Raw genomic sequence first — 26383 nt, 5'->3', positions numbered from 1 at the left:
GGAACTCGCGCTGGCCCGCAAGCACCGCGCGCAGCCCCGGTTCCCGCCCGCGCCTCTCCCTCCACACCTCCCTGCAAGCTGAGGGAGCCGGCTCTGGCCTTGGCCAGCCCAGAAAGGGGCTCCCACAGTGCAGCGGCGGGCTGAAGGGCTCCTCAAGGGCCGCCAAAGTGGGAGCCCAGGCAGAGGAGGCGCCGAGATTGAGCGAGGGCTGTGAGGACTGCCAGCACGCTGTCACCTCTCAACGCCAGTGCACTCCAGCCTGGGTGACAGAGCAAGCCTCCGTCCCAAAAAAAAAAAAAAAAAAAAGTGGCCTCTGTGATTCAGCTGGGGGTGGGGGTTAGGACGGGTGGGTTGCAGGGAGCTGAGCTGCTCAAGTGGCAGGGCGTGGGGGAAGGGTTTGTCAGCCTGCAGTGACCTTAGGGTTGGAGAGGAAGCAGATTTTTGCTGCTCCTGCTGAAGGCTTCCTGAAGGCGGGGTTCCTGTTGTCTGCTGTTCTTTGGCCTTCCTCTGGGCACAGGCTTAACCAAGGTGCTTACATGCCGGCTCCTTGATTCACCCTCTGAGGCTTTGATTTCACGGTAACTTCATTTCCCCGACGTGGAACCCAGCTCGCTGAAGAGCTAAGGCCAAGACCTCACCGTGTGAACTTCTGTAGTTTCTGGCTTCAATAGCCGAATTCACTTTGATTCTAAAATTGCTTTTTTGAATTTAGAATGGTCTCTTTGTTACCTCCTTTCTTATTTTCTGTTTTCTCCTTGTCTCCTTGGAGTCTGCTCAGTTATCGAGGAACTGCAGTGCTACTTTCAGAAATGTTCTCGGGTCGAGTGCTGGGCGCCCTGGGTGACCGCAGCCAGGTCCTAGGCTCTTCCTGAACCAAACATCCAAACCCCAACCCATGAGGGGAATTGTGTTCCTCTTAGGAAGGATCCTGGTCTGCTTGGGGTGTCTGTGACTGAAGCCTGTCTTGTCCAATTCTCTCATTCTGGAAAAACGGCAGTAAGAAACATTCACTGGAAGATTGTGGAGGTTTAAGTAATGGGAAACGAGTGTCTCTGGTGAAACTATACTTCTATGGTCCCAGTTCCTGGCCTTCATCTTCCCTGCTAGCCCAACTAGGCTGTCCCCTCCCCTGCCTTCCCCAGACCCCATCACAGTGGTGTTGGAAAGTGGAATAGCCAGTGGCTGGGGAAGGAGGCTTTGGATTCTGGCAGTCCTGCCTTTAACTCCCGGCACCATCACATGGGTTTGTTACTCAGTTTCCCCATCTGTAAAATGGGGACGATGATCGCTATTCCAGCGATTTGCTTGGAGGGTTGAATGAAACAACAGAGGTGTAAAGAGAACTTTTTATGTATCAGAATTCCTCTTAGGAAGGTAGAGCTGTCTTTGTTGAGAAAATACTTTGCTAAGTTCAAGTAGGAACCGAGATCCTTCTGGCCGGAGGTGGGAGGGAACGCTCCCAACAAGACAAAGGGAGGATTTTGTTTGCAACTCCAGGGAGGAAGTGGGGGGCCAGGAGAGGGCGGAAGCCCAGTGCTCCAGGAATGACCCCTCCCCATGGATACCGCACTCCCATCCCCACCCTCCACCAAAATCTTGAATCAGGTTTACTGAATTCATGGAACACTTGAAGTAATGAGGAAAGCAGAGAGGGGCTGAGTTGTGTCTCTGGGGAGCTCTGAAACAAAACCATAGTAGCATTTCAGAATGAGAGGGGATGGAGGCAAAGGACAGCTAAGGACAAAAGACACAGGACCCCGGGCTGGGCGTGCTGGCTTACGCCTGTAATCCAAACTGTTGGGACACTTTGGTAGGCCGAGGCAGGTGGATCACAAGGCCAGGAGTTCAAGACCAACCTGGCCAACATGGTGAAACACCATCTATACTAAAAATACAATAGCCGGGTGTAGTGGCAGGCACCTGTAATCCCAGCTACTCGGGAGGCTGAGGCAGAGAATTGCTTGAACCCAGGAAGCAGAGGCTGTAATGAGCTGAGATCATGCCATTGCACTCCAGCCTGGGCAACAGAGTGAGACTCTGTCTCAAAAAAAAAAAAAGGAAAAAAAAAAAAAAGACGCAGGCACCCTCCTAAGAAGAGATTGGACTATCAAGGGCAGCAAATCTGAGAGGTAGGGGCACCAGCCACAACCTGCATATGCAAGAAAACAAATTGTAGTTTAGTATCATTAGCCCCTGTTTCGTGCCTTCCTGGGTCTTTCCTTCTTGACCTTCCATCTGGTTAGACATTGCTTCCTTCAGGAAGCCTTCTCTGATTTTCCATACATGGGTAAGAACTGTACATTCTGAGCTCCCTTGTTCATTTTCATCCTGGAGATGTCACCCTGAGTTATAATTGCTCGTTTGGATGCCTGGTCTCTCCTACCAGACTATACACTCCATGGGGTGTACATCTTTTACACCACTGTGTTCCCAAACCTGGCATAGCACCTTGTACATCTGTTTTCAATAAAATACATGTTCAGCAAATGACAGTCTCATAGAAAAAGCCCAGTCTTTGGTGTTCTATAAAACCTGGGTTCAGATCCTGACTCTGTCACTTAAAAGCTGTGTAACTCTGGGCGTATTACTTAACCTCTCTGAGCCTCACTCATCATCTCTGTAAACAGGTGTAAGGTACAAGGTCAGTGTGAGGACTCAATGGGAGGAAATGTGGAAAGTGTGGTGCATGGCCACAGTCAGCACTCAGCAGATGTTGGGTTCTCATCTCTGTCTCCTATATTTAACACATCTATTCCAGCCACATGTCCCCACCAAGCCAGGGCCCTCGGCACCTTATAAAACCTCCTACTTGTTACCTTACTTCACACTGTCTGTCTCAGATGTATTAAGCTCTTCCTTTGTACCAGATACTGCTCTAAACTAGGTGTCAGCAGACTACAGCCTGTGAACCAAATCTAGCCCCACACCTGTTTTTGTATATAATGTCCATGAGCTAAGAAAGGTTTTCACATTTTTAAATGGTTAGGAAAAAACTAGAAATAATATTTCATGCCACATAAGAATTATTTGAAATTCAAATTTTAGTGCCCATAAATAAACTTTTTTTTTTTTTCGAGACAGCTTCTCACTCTGTTGCCTAGGCTGGCGTGTAGTGGTGTGATCATGGCTCACTGCAGCCTTGACATCCGGGGCTTAAGCCATGCTCCCACCTCAGCCTCCCGAGTAGCTGGTACTACCCGTGCGCCACCACGCCAGGCTTATTTTAAACTTTTTTTGCAGAGATGGGGTTTAGCTATATTGCCTAGGCTGGTCTTGAACTCCTGGGCTGAAGTGGTCCTCCTGCCTCTACCTCCTGAAGTGCTGAGATTATAGGCCTGAGCCACTGCACTCAGCCATAAATAAACTTTTATTGATATATAGCCATACAAATTATTTTTCATCTTGTCCATGGCTGCTTGTCTCTTTGGGCTGCTACAACAAAATAGCGCCTTATAAACAACAGACATTTATGTCACACAGTTCTAGGAGTGGGGAAGCCCAAGATCAAGGCCCCAGCAGATTCAGTGTTGGGTGAGGGCTTTCTAGTTTGTAGAAAATTCATTTCTAATTCATTTCTAGATGATACCTTCTCCCTGTGTCCTCACATAATGGGAGAGGCTAGCTAGCTCTCTGGGGCCTCTTTTACAAGGGCATTAGTCGCAGTCTTGAAGGCTTTACCCTCATAGCCTAATCCCCTCCCCAAAGCCCCATCTCCTGATACTATCACCCTGGGGGTTAGGATTTCAACATGCGAATTTGGGGGGACACAAAACATTCAGACCATATCCTCTGCTTTTTTTTTTTTTTTTTTTTTTTGAGGCAGAGTCTTGCTGTGTCACCCAGGCCGGAGGGCAGTGGTGCGATCTCGGCTCACTGCAACCTCGCCTCCCGGGTTCAAGCGATTCTCCTGCCTCAGCCTCCCAAGTAGCTGGGATTACAGGTGTGCATCACCACGCCCGGCTGATTTTTATATTTTTAGTAGAGATAGGGTTTTGCCATGTTGGCCAGGCTGGTCTTGAACTCCTGACCTCAGGTGATCCGCCCGCCTCAGCCTCCCACAGTGCTAGGATTACAGGCGTGAGCCACTGCACCAGGCCTATAGCTTCTACTTTTGGACTACAATGGCGGAGTTGAGCAGTTGTTGCAGAGACCATATGGCCCACAAAGCCAAAAATACTTACCATCTGGCCCTTTTTAGAAAACGTTTTCCAACCCCTGTTCTAAGCAGTGCCCACACTGATGACTCTCAAGCCGTCATAAGCCATGTGAAGTCAGCCCCAGTACTTCTCATTCTACAGTGGAGGAGCCCGAGGTGGAAAGAGGTTAAGTCCCATGGCCACAGTCACACAGTGGTAGATGGTAGAGTTGGGACCAAGCTCCTATTGCCTCTGAAAGAGGAGGTCACTGCTCAGGAGGCTGGGGACAACCCTAGACAGCCTCCATGCTGTGCTGGGGAGCCTGGCCTGGAAGGTTCTTGATCAGGGGAATGACATAATAAAGTGAAACCCTAAGGTGACCACTATGGTCACTGACTTGCAGGAGAGAGTGGGTGGGAGAAGTGGGATAGAGGAAGGACTAAGAACTGGAATTTTGGAACTAAACTTCCTGGTTTGGGTTGCAGCCAGCCACTGATCTCTGCCACCTTGGACAAATTAATTAGTGTCTCTCTGCCTAATTTCCTTCACTCTACAAAGAAGATAATAATAGAATCTGGATTCTACCTTATGGGGTTGTTGGAAAGATTAGAAGAGAAAGTTCTGTCTTATTTATCTGCCTTTGAGCACAGAGAGGCCCTCAATCAGTGTTAGCTATGGTTATGCCTGTTATTCATCCCAAAGGGAATATATATATATATGTGTGTGTGTGTGTGTGTGTGTATATATATGTGTGTATATATATGTGTATACATATATGTGTGTATATATGTGTGTGTGTGTGTGTGTATATATATATGTGTGTATGTGTGTGTGTGTGTATATATATATATATATATATTTAGATGGAGTCTTGCCCTGTTGCCTAGACTGGAGGCTGATGTGCAATGGCAGATGTGATCTCGGCTAACTGCAACCTCCACCTCCTGGGTTCAAGCAATTCTCCTGCCTCAGCCTCCTGAGTAGTTGGGACTATCGGCGTGCACCACCACGCCTGGCTAATTTTTTTTTTTTTTTTTTTTGTATTTTTAATAGAGACGAGGTTTCACCATGTTGGCCAGGCTGGTCTCGAACTCCTCACCTCAGGCGATCTGTCCACCTTGGCCTCCCAAAGTACTGGGATTACAGGCGTAAGCTACCATGCCTGGCCTCATCCCAATAGGAATCTACTGCTCCCTCCGTTCCAGGTGCCATTCCAAGCAATCAGGATGCAAAAAGGAAGAAAGAAAAATGAACCAAGTCTGATACCTGCCCATAAAGAGCACACAGACCACTATGAGGGACAGAGGAGTACATGAGTACCTGGGGAGTGGTGTGACAAGTGCCAGAGTGGGCTATGGCGGAGATCAGAGAGAGGAAACACCTTGTTCTACTTCTCCCTTCTGTGGCTCAGGTTCTACTCCTTCCTGAGCGCACCAGGCATCCTGTTGGGTTTGCCCTAGGCCTCTTCTCCCCAGGCCCTGGAGCCAGCCTGAATGGGGAATAACATGGGCACAGGCAGTTTTCCAGCGCCCTGGCTCGAGGCTGTGTCTGGAAGACTGTACAGTACATATCAGCCGGAAGTAGAGGGCCCCTGGGAGAACACGGGCAGGGGAATAGCTTGGTCACTTCCACTTACCAAACAGCAAAACAACAAATTCACAGCAAGGGATGTTGATGCCAAAAACCCGTCAGGTTCCAGCCTGGAATCTTGTATTTGTCAGATGAGTGTGCCCTTGAGGTGCAGCAAGAATCCACAGCAATTAAGAATGTGATCATAAAATGTGCCAGCAGCTCCTGCCTGCCTTGGTTTTTATTTTATTTTTTTATTTTTTGAGACGGAGTTGTGCTCTATTGCCGAGGCTGGAGTGCAGTGGCGCCATCTCGGCTCACGGCAATCTCCGCCTCTTGGGTTCAAGCGATTCTCCTGCCTCAGCCTCTCCAGTAGCTGGGACTACAGGCACCTGCCACCATGCTTGGCTAATTCTTTTTATATTTTTGGTAGGGGCAGGGTTTCGCCATGTTGGCCAGGCTGGTCTCAAACTCCTGACCTCAGGTGATCCGCCCACCTTGGCCTCCCAAAGTGCTGGGATTACAGACATGAGCCACCACACCCAGCTGGTTTTTTTTTTTTTAAACTACCATTAATTAGTGTTTGGTTTGCCATTTACAAGTGTGTATTTATGTGTATGCATATGTAGCTATGCCTGGAAGAAAGACTGGAAAGATACACGGGTGACATTCGACTGGGGTGGCAGTGAGGCAATTGGGGAGTAGAAGAGAAAAGTGGAGGCTGTTTATTAGCATCCACTAAATGTTTCACCCCAAATCCTCATGCCTGTCCTTCCTCCTTGAGTAAAGTACTTCAAGTATATACATATTTCAAAAGCTCCCCCAAGTAATTCTGAAATATGTTCTTCCCTTTCACTCCACATCTCATGTCTAATTTATCCACATATATCAAATGTTAACAGTAGTTATATCTGAGTATTGGGATTATAATGATTTTAAAACTTTTCTTTTTCTTGTTCTTCTTTTTTTTTTTTTTTTGCTTTGCTGGTGTTTAAAAATTCTACCATGGCTAGACGTGGTGGCACTTGCCTGTAGTCCCAGCTACTCAGGAGGCTGAGCAGGGAGGATTGCTTGAGGCCAGAAATTCTGGGCTAAAGTGTGCTATGCCAATCAGTTATCCGCACTAAGTTCAGCATAAATATGGTAATCTCCTGGGAGCAGGGGACCACCAGGTTGCCTAAGGAGGGGTGAATCAGCCCAGATCAGAAACAGAGCATGTCAAAACTCCCATGCTGATCACTAGTGGGATAGTGTCGGTGAATAGCCACTGCACTCCAGCCTGGGCAACATAGCAAGACCCTGTCTCTAAAAAAATAAAAATAAATTCTACCATGAACATGTAAACTAGTATAATAGTTAAGTGTGTTTGTTCTAGAACCAAACTACCTGAGTTTAAACTTAATAGTGGTAGGTCACTGTAACTCAGTGATGTCATCTGTAAAAGGAGAAAAATAATAACAGCTATCTAATTGGGCTGTTGTGAGAAGTAAATGACAATACAGATACAGCTCTTAAAGTAATGCCTGGTACATGTGATGCTTAATATGAGTTACTCCTTACTATTAAAACATAAGGAAAGTTAGCAATACATTTTAAAATTTAAGAACATTTTGAGCTGGATGTGGTGGCACGTGCCTGTAATCCCAGTACTTTGGGAGGCTGAGGCAGGTAGATCACTTGAGGTCAGGAGTTCGAAAAATACTGCCTGTACTAAAAATACAAAAGTTAGTCAGGCATGGTGTTGCATGCCTGTAATCCTAGCTACTCGGGAGGCTAGGCCAGGAGAATTATTTGAACCTGGGGGACTGCAGTGAGCTGAGAACCTTGAATCGCTTGAACCTGGGGGGCTGCAGTAAGCCAAGATCATGCCACTGCATTCTAGCCTGAGCGACAGAGCCAGACTCTGTCTCAAAAAACAAACAGAAAAGAACATTTGGAAATATATATATATATATTTATATATATATATATTTATATATATATATATTTATATATATATATATTTATATATATATATTTATATATATATATATTTATATATATATATATTTTTATATATATATATATTTATATATATATATATTTTTATATATATATATATTTATATATATATATATTTTTATATATATATATATATATATATATATATATATATATATATATGAAGAAGAAAAGGAGGCCGGGTGCGGTGGCTCATGCCTGTAATCCCAACACTTGGAGAGGCTAAGACGGGCAGATGACTAGGTCAGGAGTTCGAGACCAGCCTGCCAACATGGTGAAACTCTGTCTCTACTAAAAATACAAAAATAAGCCAGGCATGGTGGTGCGTGTCTGTAATCCCAGCTACTCAGGAGGCTGAGGCAGGAGAATCACTTGAACCTGGGAGGCAGAGGTTGCAGTGAGCCAAGATCGTGCCATTGCACTCCAGCCTGGGCAACAGAGCAAGACTCCGTCTCAAAAAAAAAAAAAGAAAAAAGAAGAAGAAGAAGAAAAAAGAACCGACGATCTTGGCATGCCTTTGGATCTTATCTGAGCTGGATGGCAAGCCCAAGCCCTACTCTTCCCCATCTGTGAAGTGGGAAAACAATAGGCTCTACCCGATTCTGTTGTGGGGATCAGATAGGAAGGGAAGAGATGGGAAAGGGCTATGAAAACATAAAGCAAAATTTTATAGTGAGGAGTGTTTATTGTAATTAGGAAGAGGATTATGCAGCATTGAAAAAAGAAAAAAAAAAAAGGCCAGGCGTGGTGACTCACGCCTGTAATCCCAGCGCTTTGGGAGGCCGAGACAGGCAGATCACTTGAGGTCAGTAGTTCGAGACCAGCCTGGCCAACATGGAGAAACCCTGTAAAATTACAAAAATTAGCCAGGCGTGGTGGCACATGCTTATAACCCCAGCTACTTGGGAGGCTGAGGCAGGAGAATCACTTGAACCCGGGAGACAGAGGTTGCAATGAGCCGAGATCACGCTACTGCACTCCAGCCTGGGCAACTGCGCGAGACTCCATCTCAAAAACACAAACATAAAAACACACACCAGCAGCCAGCTGCAAAGGCTGGTGGCAACAGGAAGGGGACGCTGGGCTTCCTCTTCCTGCTCTCTGGTTCCAGCCCAGAAACTACACCCTGGCTGGAGGAAAAAGATTGAACCTTACTGAAAGGCACAACAGCCATTCCTTTTTCTGTCAGACATTAAGTGGTATCTGCTTTGTATATGCACTTCTCTTCCTTTCTTTCCATTCATTTTTGCCTTTGGTGCTTTTTTTTTTTTTTTTTTTTGTAACATTATTTCTTAGCAAGTTACAGGCAACCCAAAAGCTAATACTCAGTAAACATTTATTACGTGCCCATTATAGACCTGAATGTTTGTGTCTCCCAGCCCCAAATTCGTATGTTCAAATCCTAACCCCCAATGTAATGGCATTAGGAGCTGGGACCCTTGGGAGGTGATTAGGTCCTGAGAATAGAGCCTTCATGAATGGGATTAATGCCCTTTTAAAAGGGATCCCAGAGAGCTCTGTCGGCTCTCTGCTGTGTGAGGATACAACGAGAATACAGCCATCTACAAAACAGGAAGCAACACTCACCATTCATGGGATCTGACGGTGTCTGGATCTTGGACTTTCCAGCACCTAGAACTGTGAGAAATAAAGTTCTGTAGCTTCAGCCACCCAGTCCATGGTCTTTGTTATGGCAACCCAAACTGACTAACAGAGTCCCAGGCATCATTCTCAGACTACATGTAGTAACTCATTTATCTTCTAAGCAACTCTAGGAGATAAATACCTTTTTATTATTTTAATTTTACAGGGAAGGAAACTGAGGCATAGAAAGGTTAAATAACTTGTGCAGTCTGTAGGTGGTAGATCTAAGGCTCAAATCCCAGCAGTGTGGCTGCAAACTCCTGATGCTCTTAGCCACTAAGACAATTAGAGAGCACAGGCTCCAGGAAGCCCACCGTACCACAATCCCTAAAATCTCAACCGCCAACCCTGTGCAGAGGATTTGCTAAGACTGGGATGCAGGGGCCATATCTGCCCACTGCCCTCAGCCCTGAGACCCCTCTTTTGGGTTTAGTAGTCCTGGAGGAGCCAGGAGGGAAGTCCAGGTAGTCTGATTCCACTGTCTGTCCTGCTCTCCGTGACCTTAAACTGTCTCCCAAAGAGCACACATTGGTAAAGGATTTTCAGGAACAAATGCTGAAGAAGGGTGTTGCTATTCTTGGAGACTTTGCCTTCAGAATCAGTTTCTACCCCATGCTTCCAGAAATTGATGAGGATGACTGTAAACACTCCAGAAGCTACTTGCCAATGATACTCTGTTTCAGGGAGAAGGACTGGCCCTCGTTGCTGGGGGAGCAGCTGAGATCCTGTGATGCCAGGTGATGTCTGCTGCGCTGACAGTTCCTGGGATCCATTCCTCCAGGATTTTGGACAGCATATGTTCTGAAGGTGGCCTCTTCTCTTACACAGCATGATGTAACCCTCCAATCCTCAGGCTCAAATAGGTTGCAGATTTTCTAGGGTGACTATTTCCTGTGTTCCAAGATCACAGGTGGTGAGAGCATTCTGCCTGAGAACTGTGGATAGCATTTATGTGAAAGCTGCTTATGTGGGTCAGGACATGCTTAGTGGCAAGTAATAGAAAATATAGCCCAAGGCCGGGCACGGTGGCTCACGCCTGTAATTCCCGCACCTTGGGAGGCTGAGGCGGGCAGATCACCTGAGATCACGAGTTCAAAACCAGCCTGACCAACATGGAGAAACCCCGTCTGTACTGAAAATACAAAATTAGCCAGGCATGGTGGTGCATGCCTGTAATCCCAGCTACTCGGGAGGCTGAGGCAGGAGAATCACTTGAACCCGGGAGGCGGAGGTTGCGGTGAGCCAAGATTGTGACATTGCACTCCAGCCTGGGCAACAAGAGTGAAACTCTGTCTCAAAAAAAAAAAAAAGAAAAAAGAAAAAGAAAATACAGCCCCAAATGGCATAAACAATAAAGGAAAGTGTACTGGCTCATGTAGCTGAACAGTCTCTGGATAGATTTCAGGTGAGGATGGATGCAGTGACTCAACCATGTCACAAAACACCTGGCTTTCTTTTTAACTCTTTCCTCTGCTTTCCATGTCAAGTTCATCTTAAGGGTGATTTCTCTCAAAGGAGCAAGAGGGCTACCAGAAGCCTCAGGGAGCATGCTTCCTTGTTCATTTCTAGCAGAAGCAGCAGCATCTCTCCCAGATTGTTAAATGAAAGTCCTGGGCCTCCGATTGGATAATCTAAGGTCATAGGACCATCCCTGAACCAGTTACTGCAGCCATGGCACCCAGTGGACCATAACTGGTTGAAGTCAATCAAGACCTACCCCTGGCCTGGAAATCAAGTACTTTATCCACCACAGTATACTGTTTATTTGATTTCTGACATGGAATTTTCTGGAGTCATTAAAAATACCAAATATAGTTTAATGGAGCAATAAAGTAAATGGCAACTACATTTTCCCAATTGCTCAAGTCAGAATCTTGAAATCAGGCAGGGTGTGGTGGCTCACGCCTGTAATCCCAACACTTTGGGAGGCCAAGGTGGGTGGATCACCTGATGTCAGGATTTCAAGAACAGCCTGGTCAACATGGTGAAACCCCACGTATTTTGTATTGTGTAAAAATACAAAAATTAGCCGGGAGTGGCGGCGCACACCTGTAATTCTAGCTACTTGGGAGGCTGAGGCAGGAGAATCGCTTGAACGCCGGAGGCGGAGGTGCAGTGAGCTGAGATCATGCTTGGACAACAAAAGTGAAACTCCGTCTCAATTAAAAAAAAAAAAATCTTGAAATCATTCTTGACTCCTTTATTTCTCACATTCCACTCCCATATCCAACCTATCATCAAAATCAATTAGCTCTACCACAAAAAATATCTAGAATCTGATCCCTTCTCACTTAACCACTACTGTCTCTTATCTACAGAGAAGCCAAAGTAATCCTTTTAAATAGTAAGTCATACCATGTCACTCCTAAGCTCAAAGGCCCTCAGTGACTCTCATATCAATCCAAAGAAAAGCAAAAAGCAAAAAGCAAGACTCTTCATGCTGTGGCCTGTTACCTCTCCACTCTCATCTCCTACTACTCCCATCTTGCTCACTCTGCTTCAGCCAGACTGGCTTCTTGCTAGATCCCCAAAAATATCCAGCATGCCCCTGCCTTAAGGCCTTTGTATGTGCTGTTCCCTTGGCCTGAACACCTTTCTTTCCAATATCCGCTGGGCTCATCCCCTTTGTTCAAAAATGACATTATCAGAAAGGCCCTGCATGACCAGTCAGCGTGAAAACACACCCAGCCAATCTTTAAGTCTCATACCTTGCTTTATTTTCATAGCACTTACCATTACCTAAAATATTTAAGTATTTGTGTACACGTCATTTTTCTCCCCTCCTGAATGAAAGTTCACGACAGCAAAATTATTCACTAGTACAGCCCCAATATCTAGAACAGTGAAGGCATTCAACATATAGTTACTGAAAGTGAATGAAAGCTTTAGAGCAAATAATATACGAAAGAGGAAATAGCTAACAACAGATGAAAAATGTTCAGTTTTTCCAATAAGCAAAGAAATACAAATTAAAATATAGCCAAGACAATATTTTTGCCTATTAAGTTGGCAAGAACTATCAAGTAATAAATCCATTGCTGTTGATAAGCATTGAAATTGGTATTTTCATGTAATTTTGGTGGCCAGTCTCATTAATTCATTTAAGAGATATTTATTGGGTACCTACTATATATACACTGTGCAATTTGCCAATATATACTCTAATGTGTCATAAGGCTCAGAGTCTCTGTATTAGTCAGGAAAGACTAGGTTACCAGTGGTAACAAATTAACCCCAGAATCCTAGTAGTTTACTGTAACAAAAGTTCCAACATACCCACCTCAGGTTGGTGAACAGGGAGGGTTGTTCTGTGTCACTCAGGGACTCTACCATCTGGAATGTCATTGGTCACCCTTGCAGAAAACAGGAGAGATTGGCAAATCATGCATAGGCTTTCTATAGCCACATCCAGGAAATTCACACATCACTTCCATTCACAATGAAGTGTGCTTCATTGTCCAGAGCTATTCATATGACCCTACCCAATGGCAAGGAGGCTGAGAAGTGAAGCCTCCTTTCTGCATGCCCAAAAGGAGCAGAGAAACACAGATGTTGGTAAATACTAATAATGTCTGCTATAGTCCTTGACCAAGAAATCTTACCACTCTACTAAAATAACCTAAAGTACATAAAAGGCCTCATTAAGGAAAATATTCATTGATGTTTTATTTATTATTTTGATAGCCCAAAAGAATCTTATTGGATAATGAGGAAATGAGTAATGGAATTATGGTTTATCCATATGCAATAAATTATTGTGCAGTCATAAAAATAGTAGTTAATGAAGAATCTATATATGGAAAAATAATTTTAACAAAGGAGTAAGTAAAAATTAGGAAACAAATAAAATGGGTATTATGATCACAAGGCCATAAAAATATACCTGATTTTAAAAAGTCTGAGGAAATACACTGAAATGTTTTCATTCAACAAATACCTGCTAGGCGCTAGGCCCTGCAGATTCAAAGATTAAATACACTATCTTTGTTCTAGAGGTGCTACAATCTTATAAGAATATCCAAAATGAGCCAAAAGAAATCCTTGCCTAAACCCAGAACAGTTATTCTAATAATTTTATGGTTGTACATAAGGATACACTTTCATGCCGTCATGATTTGAATCACTCAGAGAATGAGAGGCAGAGAGTCATCATTCATTCCATAGATAGTTATCAAACATGTCCTAAGTGGGTCACAGAGTTGATCAAGACACCATACCATGCTCACTGACCCCAGAAGGCTTAGAGTCTAGCTGGAATCCTACATGTCAAACAGGCTGGTCCTTGCTGGCCTCAGCTTCTGGCCTGATGAACTCCTTTACATAATGCTCTGTATCAGACCTATGAAAGTTCCTGGTGCCTAAAATAGTTCCTGGCATATAGTTTATAGTTTGGTGTCCAGTAAATTCTGGTGTTTTCCCCAAACCAACTCTACCTATAGGCTTTCCATTTCAGTTGATGGTATCTACATCCTTCAATGCTCAGGTCAAAAATATGGAGTCATTCTCAACACCTCTCTTTCTCTCACACCCTACAAATCTTTTTCAGAAAACCTTATAGCTCCCGCCTTCTGAAATATATCACAGAATCAGACCACTTTTCACTCCTCCACTGCCACCTCCATCTTTCGCCATTAGTGCCGCAGCCTCCTACCTGGTCTCCAGGCTTCTCCCCTGGCCCCTGCATTCTGTTCTCCATACGGCAGGCATGAAGAGCTGTTTAAATCCTAAGTCTGACCCCACCACTCCTCTGCTCAACTCTACTCAAACAACTCAGCTTAAAGAGTGAAATTTAGAGTTCTCACAATGACCTTTATGGTCCCTCTCTGGAGTCTCAGCTTTGTTAGATGCAAGTTAGCAGCTGTTAGTAGCAACATGGTATAACACCGCCTTTGCAATCCAGAATTGGAATTCAGAGATAATATGACCTCCCTCCATGCACAATTTTTAAGAGTCATATCTAAAATACAAAGCAGAAATAAAAAGAAAGCCCACAATAAGAGATGCATTTTAATATGTAAACATTCAGGCACAACTACAGTAGAAGACAAAAACATCTCCGTGAATTTCACAAACACCCACTATCAGATGGCACCACCCCATTGAAAACCACTGCCCTTTACCATCTGGGCTGGCTTCCTCTCTCTAAACTAAACACCAGCCCTCAGGCAGTTCACTCACTCTGCTCCAGCCACACCTGCTTCCCTGCTGTTTTGGACCAGTAAGTCACCTTCCTGTCTGGAGTCTTTGCAATTGCAGGATTCCCTCAGGGAGCCACGTGGCTCACTCCCTCCGCCTTCAGGTCTTTGCTCAAACATTCTTTTCTCAGAGAAGCCTTCCCTGACCACTCTCTTTAAAATAACGACCTTCCTCTCCCCAGACAGCACTCCTTCTCACCTCTCCCTGCTTATTTTTCTCCATACGCTTATTGTCTGACATACTAGATATTTTATTTATGATGTTGTCTGTGTCCACTCCATGAGGTCACTGATTTTTCCTGTTTGTCTTCTACTATATCCCTATTATGTAAATGAGTGCTTGGCACAAGGTGAGCGTTCAATAAATATTTGTTGAATGAATGAAAACAGTGAACAAGGGATATGTATTGAGTGACTGACTGAATGAATTGCTACAGACACCCAGCAATCATGGCATTAGTCCTGAACGCCTGGCCTCTGCTCCTCTGTACCTCACTCCTTGCCAAACTTGTTCTGTCCCACATGCTTGTTGCTTTCCACTGTATACATTCTTCATTTCCCAATTTGAAGCTCGACCTGGCTTCTTCCAACCTTGACTTCACATTATGAATTTTGTCTCACCCCCAGGCATGATGAAATTGTGACAGCTTCCTAGCAACACCCAACTTGACCTCCTTCCTGCCTTCTATCCTGTGTCCCTCCCCTCCCCGCTTTTCAACACTCCATAGCTTTATCCACATATGTACTTGCTCTAATATGCCTGTCAAAATCCTACTGGTTCTTCAAGGATAGATTCAAATGCCCCCTCCTTGCTCAATGAAGCCTGATCCACCATCCCGAAGTCAGTCTCATACCTCTAAGGCCTTTTAAGTATTTGTAACTCTTATGGCCCTCATCACAGCCTTTGCTGTATAAAATCTTGGTTTGCTTATCTTATCCCTTCTGCTGGAGTTTAAATTGTTTAAAGGCAGGGAGTAAGTCTTACTTATTTCTTGCGTTTCCCATGGTATATGAAACATGGTCAATAAGTATTAAATAAGATAGTTTCTATAAACTTCTTAGTACAGTTCTTGGCATATAGCGAATGTTCAATCCATACTGGCTGCTAATACCAGTTCACACACAAGGAAGGCAGAGTCAGTTCCACTCCAGATGAGAGCTATACCGTGTGATTTTAGCTAGGTGACTTTGAGAGCCCGTGACATGTCTAGGTCCTTACTTTTCACTGCCTGTGCCTCTTCCTATCTGTAGCAGGTTCCCCATGTTTCCTGGACCCACCTGAGTGCCCCTGAAGCTGTGGGCAGTTCCTGGCACAGGCAGACTGATGGCTTTCATCCCAAGTGCCTGCATAGGCCTTCTTTCTTTGTCTGGTACAGAAGCCTGATAGGCTACTTATAAGTGCAACCCATAGTTGAGGGAGAGGGTGTCAATGTTCCTGGGGCCGATTCTCAACCAATTTGGATGGAGTTGTTGGAAAAATGCCCCAGTCTCCCTGGCTTCTAGAGGGACAGTTCTGAGGCATGTTCCACATGGTTTCTCAGTCTGTACTGGGATTGAGTCTTTGTTGCCCCTGAGAGTAATCTGCTTTCAGCTTTTCTCTTTCCCTAACTTACTTCTCCTACTTCCTTACTTGGGTGTTCTGGGATCACTTCCCAGAACTCAAGTCCTGCTTGGGAGGGAACTATTGTCACTCAACCTTCCCGAAGAAATGGCTGTCTAGCCCCTTAGGCTGACAAAGTCCTACATGCCTCCCATCATGACACACCTTTCCTGTGGTCTGTCAGCACCAGATATGTCAATGATTGAGGTGGTGGGGAGGTGATAGGAATTCTTGGGTTATTGGCAGAGGCAAAGAATTGGGGGTGATGGGTGGGGTACATGTGGAGTTTAATCCTAGGTTTGCTGCTATCCTTACAGAAATTATCCCCCAAGGAAACAGTTGCAGTAACCCACCATTTAACAACAAAGGCCTACTCTCACTCCCAGATGTGATTGCTTAGACTTCATAAGGAAGAATACTACCTTATGAAGACCACAATGCTATGAAGACACAAAGGACTCACTGGTTTGTGGCCCAGTTTTCTTGGTGCTGTATAAGTTCATCAGAGAGGTTGTCATGTGTTCACCAAAGCCCGTTCGCCCTTCTCACTGAGCACATAACTACATTATATCCCTCAGCCTCCTTTGCATTAGGTGTGATCATGTCTGGGTTCTAGCCAGTGGAATGTGAACAGAGCTGATGTCCACCACTTCCAGGCCTTGACATTAAAAACCTCCCATGGGTAATCCTCCATGTCCTTAGTGATCTGCTGCCTGGAAGCAAAAGACTCCATGCTCTACGGCATGGCAGACACAAGGTGGCAGCAGCCTGAAGCCCTGAATCACCATGTGGAAGATGCCTGCTGTGAATTGACTGTGAGAAGAAATAACTTTTATTGGGTTAAGCTACTGAAATTCCAGGGTTAGTCATAGTATCTGGTGTCATGTCAATCAATACAAAAATTGGTATCTAGAAGTGGTGTGCTGCAATAACAAAAACCTAAAGTAATATGGCATTGGCTTAGCAGTGGAGTGGTAGTTGGTGAGAAAAGTAATATAAGAAGCTGGAAAAAGGAAACCTAATTTGTAAAGTGGCAAGACATGTAGTAAAGTATTTCCTTCGATGACAGATAGCATCCTACTAAGCCTGTAGTTCTCGGGAAAGTGGTTGGAAAGAATCAGAGTAATAGGATATATAGACGTTTCACAGGGCAGAGACAAGGGTGAGGTGAGTGAGGCACCTAGGATACAAAAGTAAGGAGGCAGTCTCTTTTGCCACCCTGTTTTTAGCTAGACATTATAAGACAGATGAAATTTATAGGAAAGATTTGTTTGCAAACAGAAGTGAAAGAGTCTAGAGAGGGCCCAGAAACACAGGGCCTCAAGGGTTATAAAGGCCCACCACTTCTGGACCTCAAAGAGCAACAAAATATTATTGAAACACAAAGGCCCTTTATGACTAACATGTATTAATACTATTAAAGATCTGATTAAGAATGTGAACTTCCCATCTCTCTTAGTCCATTCTGGCTGCTATAACAAATTACCATAGACCAGATAGCTAGAAAACAACAGAAATTTATTTCTCATAGTTCAAGAGGCTGGAAGTTTGAGATCTGAGTGCTAGCATGGTCAGGGGCTGGAGAAGGTTCTCTTCTGGGTTACAGATTTCCATCTTCTCACAGTGTCCTCACACCACAGAAAGAAAATGAGAAAGCTCTCTGAGGCCTCTTTTATAAGGGCCTCATGAAAAGAATGAACTTATCCCACTCATGAGGGTCCCATCCTCATGACCTAATCACCTCTTCAAGGCTCCACTTCCTAATTCTATCACCTTAGGGGTTAAAATTTCAACATATGAATTTTGGGGGACACATTTAGTCTTTTGCACCATCCGTGCCTGTTGTTTCAGAAAGCTCAAGCTAGCTGCTGTTAACTCAAGAGAGGGAGCCAGACATCCATGCCCTAGGGCATGGCAGAACGCACGATGGCAGTAGCCTGAGGCTCTGAATTACTATGTGGAAGATCCCTGCAGTGGACTGACTATAAATGATGTCTAGGAAAGAACTTTGGGCATGATCATTGCTTATGGAACTGATGGGAAGCAAAGATCAGAAGCTTTCTGTATTAGTCCATTTTCATACTTCTGTGAAGAAATAGCCAAGACTGGGTAATTTATAAAGAAAAAGAGATTTAATGGACTCACAGTTCCACATGGCTAATGAGGCCTCATAATCATGGTGAAGGTGAAGGAGGAGCAAAGGCATGTCTTACATGGCAGCAGGCAAGACAGCATGAGCAGGGGAACTGCCCTTTATAAAACCATCAGATCTCGTGAGACTTATTCACTATCATGAGAACAGCATGGGAAAGACTGGCCCCCATGATTCAACTAGCTTCCATCGGGTCCCTCCCATGACATGTGGATATTATGGAACCTACAATTCAAGATGAGATTTGGGTGGGGACACAGACAAACCATATCAGTTGCTAAGTTTCTGGGAAATTATATTGCCAAAGAAAAAAATGAGTCTACATTTAAAAGACTTTTGACAGTTAGAACCTTGAACCAATCCTTGAGTCCCCAAATTTGCACAAGCAGGGAGTGGGCTTCAAAAGCTGTGCAGCCTTCAAAGACCATGGGCTCCCAACACCCACCTCAAAGGCTTATAGGTGGCTGTGGAGAATAACCGTCAAGGAAGAGCCTCTTAGATAGCAGACAGGGACTACAAGGAGCTTCTCCCAGAGAGCCAGATCAGGCACCTTGTTCTTGGACTTCCAAGCCTCCAGAACCATGAGAAACAAATGCCATGAGAAATAAATGTCTGGCTATACAAGGTGGTTCACGTCTATAATCCCAGCACTTTGGGATGCTGAGGAGGGAGGAGGACAAAAGTTTGAGAACACCCTGGGCAACATAATGAGACCTCATCTCTGCAACAACAACAACAACAACAGCAACAAAAATCAGCTGGACATGGTGATATGTGCCTGTAGTCTTAGATACTCAGGAGGCTGAGGCAGGAGGATCACTTGAGCCCAGGAGTTTAAGGTTACAGTGAGCTAGGATCATACCACTACACTCCAGCCTGGGTGATAGAGTAAGACCCTGTTTCGGAAGAAAGAGAGAAAGACAGACAGGGAGAAAGAGAAAGAAAGAAGGAGAGAAAGGAAGGAAGGAAGGAGAAGGAAGGAAAGAAAGAGATGGAAGGAAGGAAGGAAGGAAGAAAGGAAGGAAGGAAGGGGCCAGGTGCGGTGGCTTACGCCTGTAATCCCAGCACTTTGGGAGGCTGAGGTGGGCGGATCACAAGGTTAGGAGATCGAGACCATCCTGGCCAACATGGTGAAACCCTATTTCTACAAAAAATACAAAAATTAGCTGGGCATGGCAGCGTGTGCCTGTAATTCCAGCTACTCAGGAGGCTGAGGCAGGAGAATCACTTGAACCCGGAGGCGGAAGTTGCAGTGAGCTGAGATCGCACCACTGCACTCCAGCCTGGTGACAGAGCTAGACTCCATCAAAAAAAAAGAAAGAGAAAGAAAGAAAGAAAGAAGGAAAAGAAAGAGAGAGAGAGAGAAAGAAAGAAGAAGGAAGGAAGGATAGAAGGGAAGGGAAGGAAGGAAGAAAGAAAGGAAGGAAGAAAGGAAGGAAGGAAGGAAGAGCCTGCTGTTTAAGCCACCTGTATATGGTATTTGTTATAGCAGCCTGAGCTGACTATATATATGTGGATATATGTATTAGTCTGTTCTTGCATTACTATAAAGAAATACCTGAGACTGGGTAATTTATAAAGAAAAGAGGTTTAATTGGCTAGTGTTTCCACAGGTTGTACAGGAAACATGGTTGGGGAGGCCTCAGGAAACTTACAATCATGGCAGAAGATGAAGGGAAAGCTGGCACTTTACATGGCCAGAGCAGGAGGAAGAGAGAATGGGAGAGGTACCACATACATTTAAACAACCAAATCTCAAGAGAACTCTGTCACGGGAACAGCACCAAAAGGGGAAATCTGCCCCCATGATCCAATCACCTTCCACCAGGCCCCATCTCCAACATTGGAGATTACAATTCAATATAAGATTTGGGCCAAGTCTGTATTAGTCTGTTCTCACACTGCTATAAAGATACTGCCTGAGATTGGGTAATTTATAAAGAAAGGAGGTTTAATTGACTCACAGTTCCACTTGGCTGGGGAGGCCTCAGGAAACTTATAATCATGGTGAAAGGTGAAGGGGAAGCAAGGCACATCTTACATGACAGCAGGAGAGAGAGAGAGAAAGAGAGAGAGAGAGAGCAGGGGAGACTCCCACTTTTAAATCATCAGATCTCTTGAGAACTCACTATCATGAGAACAGCATGAGGGAAACCACCCCCATGATCCAATCATCTCTACCAGGTCCGTCCCTCGACATGTGGGGATTATAATTGGAGACGAGATTTGGGAGGGGACATAGGGCGAAACCATATTATTCCACCACTGGTCCCTTCAAATCTCATGTTCTTTTCACATTTCAAAACCAATTATGCCTTCCCAACAGTCCCCCAAAGTCTTAACTCATTCCAGCATTAACTCAAAAGTCCAAGTCCAAAGTCTCATCTGAGACAAGGCAAGTCCCTTCTGCCTATGAGACTGTGAAATCAAAAACAAGTTAGTTACTCCCAAGATACAATGGGGATACAGACATTGGGGAAATGTTCCCATTCCAAATTGGAGAAATTGGCCAAAACCAAGGAGACAGAGGCCCCATGCAAGTCTGAAACCCAGCCAGGCAGCCATTAAATCTTAAAGCTCCAAAATCTCCTTTGACTCTGTGTCTCACATCCAAGGCACACTGATGCAAGAGGTGAGCTCCCAAGGCCTTGGGCAGCTCTGCCCCTCTGGCTCTGCAGGGTACAGCTCCTGTGGCTGCTTTCAAGGGCTGGCATTGAGTGCCTGTAGCTTTTTCAGGTGCACAGTGCTAGCTGTTGATGGATCTACCATTCTGGGATCTAGAGGACAGTGGCCCTCTTCTCATAGCTCCACTAGGCAGTGCCCCTGTGGGGACTCTGTGTTGGGGATCCAACCCCACATTTGCCTTCCACACTGCCCTAGCAGAGGTTCTCCATGAGGTCTTTGCTCCCGCAGCAGACTTCTGCCTGGACATCCAGGCATTTCCATACATCCTCTGAAATCTAGGCAGAGGTTCCCAAACCCCAATTCTTGACTTCCGTGTACCTGCAGGCCCAACACACGTGGAAGCCACCAAAGCTTGGGGCTTGCACCCTCTGAAACAATGATCTGAGCTGTACCTTGGCCCCTTTTAGCCACTGCTGGAGCTGGAGTGGCTGGGATGCAGGGTGCCATGTTCCAAGGCTGCACATGGTAGCAAGACCCTGGTCCTGGCCCACAAAACTGTGTTTTCCTCCTAGGCCTCTGGGCCTGTGTTGGGAGGGGCTGCCATGCAGATCTCTGACATGCCCTGGAGCCATTCTCTTCATTGTCTTGCCTATTAACATCCGGCTCCTCATTACTTATGCAAATTTCTGCAGCCAGTTTTAATTCCTCCTTAGAAGATGGGTTTTTCTTTTCTACTATGTGGTCAGGCTGCAAATTTTCCAAACCTTTTTGCTCTGCTTCCCTTTTAAACCTAAGTTCTAGTTTCAAGCCATCTCTTTGTGAATGCATATGACTGAACACTTTAAGAATCAGCCAGGGCCGGGCGCGGTGGCTCACGCCTGTAATCCCAGCACTTTGGGAGGCCGAGGCGGGCGGATCACGAGGTCAGGAGATCGAGACCATCCCGGCTAAAACGGTGAAACCCCGTCTCTATTAAAAATACAAAAAATTAGCCGGGCGTAGTGGCGGGCGCCTGTAGTCCCAGCTACTTGGGAGGCTGAGGCAGGAGAATGGCGTGAACCCGGGAGGCGGAGCTTGCAGTGAGCCGAGATCCCGCCACTGCACTCCAGCCTGGGCGACAGAGCGAGACTCCGTCTCAAAAAAAAAAAAAAAAAAAAAAAGAATCAGCCAGGTTACCTCTTGAATGCTTTTCTGCTTAGAAATTTCTTCCACCAGGTGGAGGTTGCAGTGAGCCGAGATTGCGCCATTGCACTCCAGCCTGGACAACAAGAGCAAAACTCTGTCTTAAAAAAAAAAAAAAAAAAATTATTCTACCAGATAACCTAAATCATCTCTCTCAAGTTCAAAGTTTCACAGATCTCTAGGGCAGGGGCAAAATACCACCAGCTGTTTTGCTAAAGCATAGCAAGAGTAAACTTTGCTTCTGTTCCCAATAAATTCCTCATCTCCAGCTGAGACCACCTCAGCCTGGACTTCATTGTCCATATCATTATCAGCATTTTGCTCAAAACCATTCAACAAGTCTCTAGGAAGTTCCAAACTTTCCCACATCTTTCTGTCTTCTTCTGAGCCCTCCCAACTGTTCCAACCTCTGCCTGTTACCCAGTTCCACAGTCACTTCCACATTTTCAGGTTATCTTTATAGCAGGCCCCCACTCCTGGTACCAATTCTCTGTATTTGTTCATTCTCACACTCCTATAAAGATACCACCTGAGACTGGGTAATTTATAAAGAAAGGAGACTTAATTGACTCACAGTTGCACATGGCTGGAGAGGCCTCAAGAAACTTACAATCATGGTGGAAGGGAAAGGGGAAGCAAGGCACATCTTACATGATGGCAGGAGAGAGAGAGAGAGCAAGAGAAGCTGCCACTTTTAAACCATCAGATCTCATGAGAACTCCCTCACTATCATGAGAACAGCATGGAGGAAACCAAACCTATGATCCAATCACCTCTCACCAGTTTGCTCCCTTGACATGTGGGAATTACAATTCAAGATGAGATTTGCGTGGACACACAGAGCCAAACCATATCAGGGACACACATCCAACCCATTATATATACTTTTTTCTGGTGAGAGGCTTCATAACCCAACTGCCTGATTCTCAAAGGTACCCTGATTAAAGAAATTTGGAGTCCCATTTGATTTTCTTCTCTCATTATCTAACATATGCCTCTACCAGAGCATGGGATCTCATCCCCTTCCCCTTTTATGATACCATTTATAATGGTTAATTTTGTGTATCAACTTAACTGGGCCATGGGGTGCCCAGACTTTGGTCAAACATTATTCTGGGTATTGTGTCTGGGTGAGGGTGTTTCTAGATGAGATTAATATTCATATCAGTAGAATGAGTAAAGCAGATTGCCCTCCCTAATGTGGGTGAGTCTCTTCCAGTCAACTGAGGACCTGAATTGAACAAAAAGACTGAGTAAGAAGGAACTTTTTCTGTCTGACTGCTTGAGCTGGAATCAAGTTTTTCTGACCTTGAACTGAAACTTACACCACCAGTTTTCCTGACTCTCAGGCCTTTGGACTGGCCTGGAACTACACCGCCAGTTCTCCTGTATCTCCAACTTCCCAACTATGGATCTTGGGACTTCTGAGCCTTCATAATTGCATGAACCAATTCCTTATAATAAATGTATATCTATTAATGTAAAAAAAATAGGTAAGGTCTCTGTCTTATTGAACTTTATCTTTAGAAGGAGAAGATATGAAGAAATATCAGTTAAGAATGCTAGGGCTGGGCGCAGTAGCTCACACCTGTAATCCCAGCACTTTGGGAGGCCAAGGCGGGCAGAAAGAGACCAGGAGATCGAGGTCAGGCAGGCGAGACCAGGCTGACCAATATGATGAAACCCCATCTCTACTAAAAATACAAAAATTAGCTGGGCGTGGTGGCATGCGCCCGTAATCCCAGCTACTCGGGAGGCTGAGACAGGAGAATCACTTGAACCCAGGGGGTGGAGGTTGCAGCGAGCCGAGATCATGCTATCGCACTCCAGCCTGGGCAACAAGAGCGAAACTCCATCTCAAAAAAAGAAAAAGAGTGCTTTGAGTTGCATGAAGCCATCCTAGCCATGGCTTAAACTTTTCTCACATGACATAAAGTGCAAAGGTAGGTGGTTTCTGGCAGCAATTGTCATCAAGGACCCAGGCTCTTTCTCTATTTTTGCTCTGTTATCTGTGCATCTTGACTTTATGCCATAACGCTTGTCACTCATGGTCACAAGAAGGTCACAGCAGTCAAGGTAGAAAGAAGGAAACAAGAGAACAACAGTGTCTACTTCCTTTGCAAGGAAAGCAAAAGTCTTCATCAAAACATACCAGAAGACTTAACTTTCTTCTGTTTCATTGGCAGGAGGGATACCAGGAAAGTCAGCATCTGCTATTCTTGCATCAGTTGCTGGAAGCAGCAGTTAAGAAGGCTGGGCTGGGCATGGTAGCTCAGGCCTGTAATCCCAGCACTTTGGGAGGCTGAGATGGGTGGATCACTTGAGCTCAGCCTGGGCAACATGGCAAAATCCTGTCTCTACTAAAAATACAGAAATCAAAAATTAGCTGGGTGTGATGGCATGGACTGTAGTCCCAGCTACTTGGGAGGCTGAGGTGGGAGGGTGGTTTGAACCCGGGAGGCGGAGGTTGCAAAGGCTGTCTTCACTCATTCCTGGGCATAAGTCAAGCTAAACATGGGAAGAATTTAGTTCATGGTTTAACTTTAAAGCAAGGATGGTAATAGTCCTTCCTTAAAACGAATCCCCTTAAACAAATCCCCTCCTTGCTCAGGGACAAAAGCTGCCTTTGTAAAACTAATGAAAGTCCACGAAGTTAGGATTATGGCGGTGGCAGCAGCGGGGGAGAAGGGAGGGGGCTGAATTATCTGAAAATGTAGGCATAGTTTCCATGATTCCTTGCTGCTCAAGTGTCTGATTTAGGGGCTGCCTGATTCTTGAATCATTCTTTGCTCAATTAAACTCCATTGAATTTAATTTGTCTAAGACCTTTCTTTTAGCGAGCCACTGAGACCCTGGAGTTGTTTGGTGTGACCACATATTCCAACTAATGAGATTTAGACTGAGGAAAGAGCATTTATCTCGTTTTTTTCTTTTCCTATAAAGCCAAATTGCTGGAAAGTATAATTTACCCTTACTAAATACTTTCTCAGGTTGTTACCATTTGGTTTCCACCCTTCCCATTTGACTGAATCTGCTTGTACTAAGGGTGACAGATAAGGTGCCACCATACACTGGTTCAAAAGTCACCTTGTTACCAGAAAGTAGGCCCGATCCAGACCCCAAGAGAGGGTTCTTAGACCTCACACAAGAAAGAATTTGGGGCAAGTCCATAAAGTAAAGCAAAGCAAGTTTATTAAGAAAGTAAAGAAATAAAACGATGGCTGCTCCATAGACAGAGCAGCGGCATGGCCTGCTCAACTGAGTACATTTATAGTTATTTCTTGATTATATGCTAAACAAGGGATGAGTTATTCATGAGTTTTCTGGGAAAGGGGCATTGATTTCCCAGAACTGAGGGTTCCTCCCCTTTTTAGACTGTATAAGGTAACTTCCAGATGTTGCCACGGCATTTGTAAACCGTCATGGTGCTGGTCGGAGTGTCTTTTAGTATGTGAATCCATTACAGTTAGCGTGTAATGAGCAGTGAAGATGATCATAGGTAACGTTTTTCGCCATGTTGGTTTTGGTGGGTTTTGGTCGACTTCTTTACTGCATCCTGTTTTATCAGCAGGGTCTTTGTGACCTGTATCTTGTGCCAACTTCCTATCTCATCCTGTGACTAAGAATGACTAACCTGCTAGGAATGCAGCCCAGTAGGTCTCAGCCTTATTTTACCCAGCCCCTATTCAAGATGGAGTTACTCTGGTTCAAACACCTCTGACAACCTTCTCTGTAAAAACATCACTGCCTCCCTCAGGAAGGGGTTGTTGTTCTCACACCTGTGGTTCCATGCCACTAATTATACATTAAATTATACTAAACAAGAGCAGGCACCATTTGTGTGTGCTGAATGGATTCTGTACAACGTGAGAGTCATTTCTTTGCTAATACTGGCAACCTACATACCTCTCAGCTGCATGAGCTCCTTGAGGATAAAGAGGGTATTCCTTATAACACTCTGACCACCAACACTAACTCATGGCTTGTCCTGGATGTTTCCTAATAAATGCTGCTGACACAGACCCACCCGCTCACCCACTTGCTCACGAAGCACACACTTGACACATGTTAACCTTCAGGTAAAGTTCTGTTCAACTCCTAGCTGGATTCCTCCAAGAGTTGCAGTGTTCCTCCCATGGATAGGTGTCAGGGGAAGGAAAGCAAGGGAAGTTCTGCTGGTTTTTTTGCTTGTTGCTGATGTTATGATATCACTGAGGAATGTAAAGGAGTGCAGGGAACCTTACCACAACATATGGCTCCGTGGGATAACGAGTATTTT

The 26383-nt window shown here is 45.0% G+C and overlaps 1 long non-coding RNA gene and 1 pseudogene across 1 annotated transcript; one reads left to right on the top strand and one right to left on the bottom strand.

Moving 5' to 3' along the window:
* Positions 1–346: 346 nt before the first annotated feature.
* On the bottom strand, positions 347–12920 carry LOC105369923 (uncharacterized). Its single transcript, XR_945238.2, has 3 exons — positions 12631–12920; positions 9294–9344; positions 347–982 (listed from the first exon to the last, which is right to left on the bottom strand). It is a non-coding gene; the product is annotated as an uncharacterized LOC105369923 (long non-coding RNA).
* Positions 6720–7012, top strand: RN7SL88P (RNA, 7SL, cytoplasmic 88, pseudogene; annotated as a pseudogene).
* Positions 12921–26383: the final 13463 nt, after the last annotated feature.

The sequence above is a fragment of the Homo sapiens genome, chromosome 12 (genome assembly GCF_000001405.40).
Source record: "Homo sapiens chromosome 12, GRCh38.p14 Primary Assembly".
NCBI lineage: Eukaryota > Metazoa > Chordata > Mammalia > Primates > Hominidae > Homo > Homo sapiens.
This window is presented reverse-complemented; position numbering and strand designations above follow the sequence as displayed.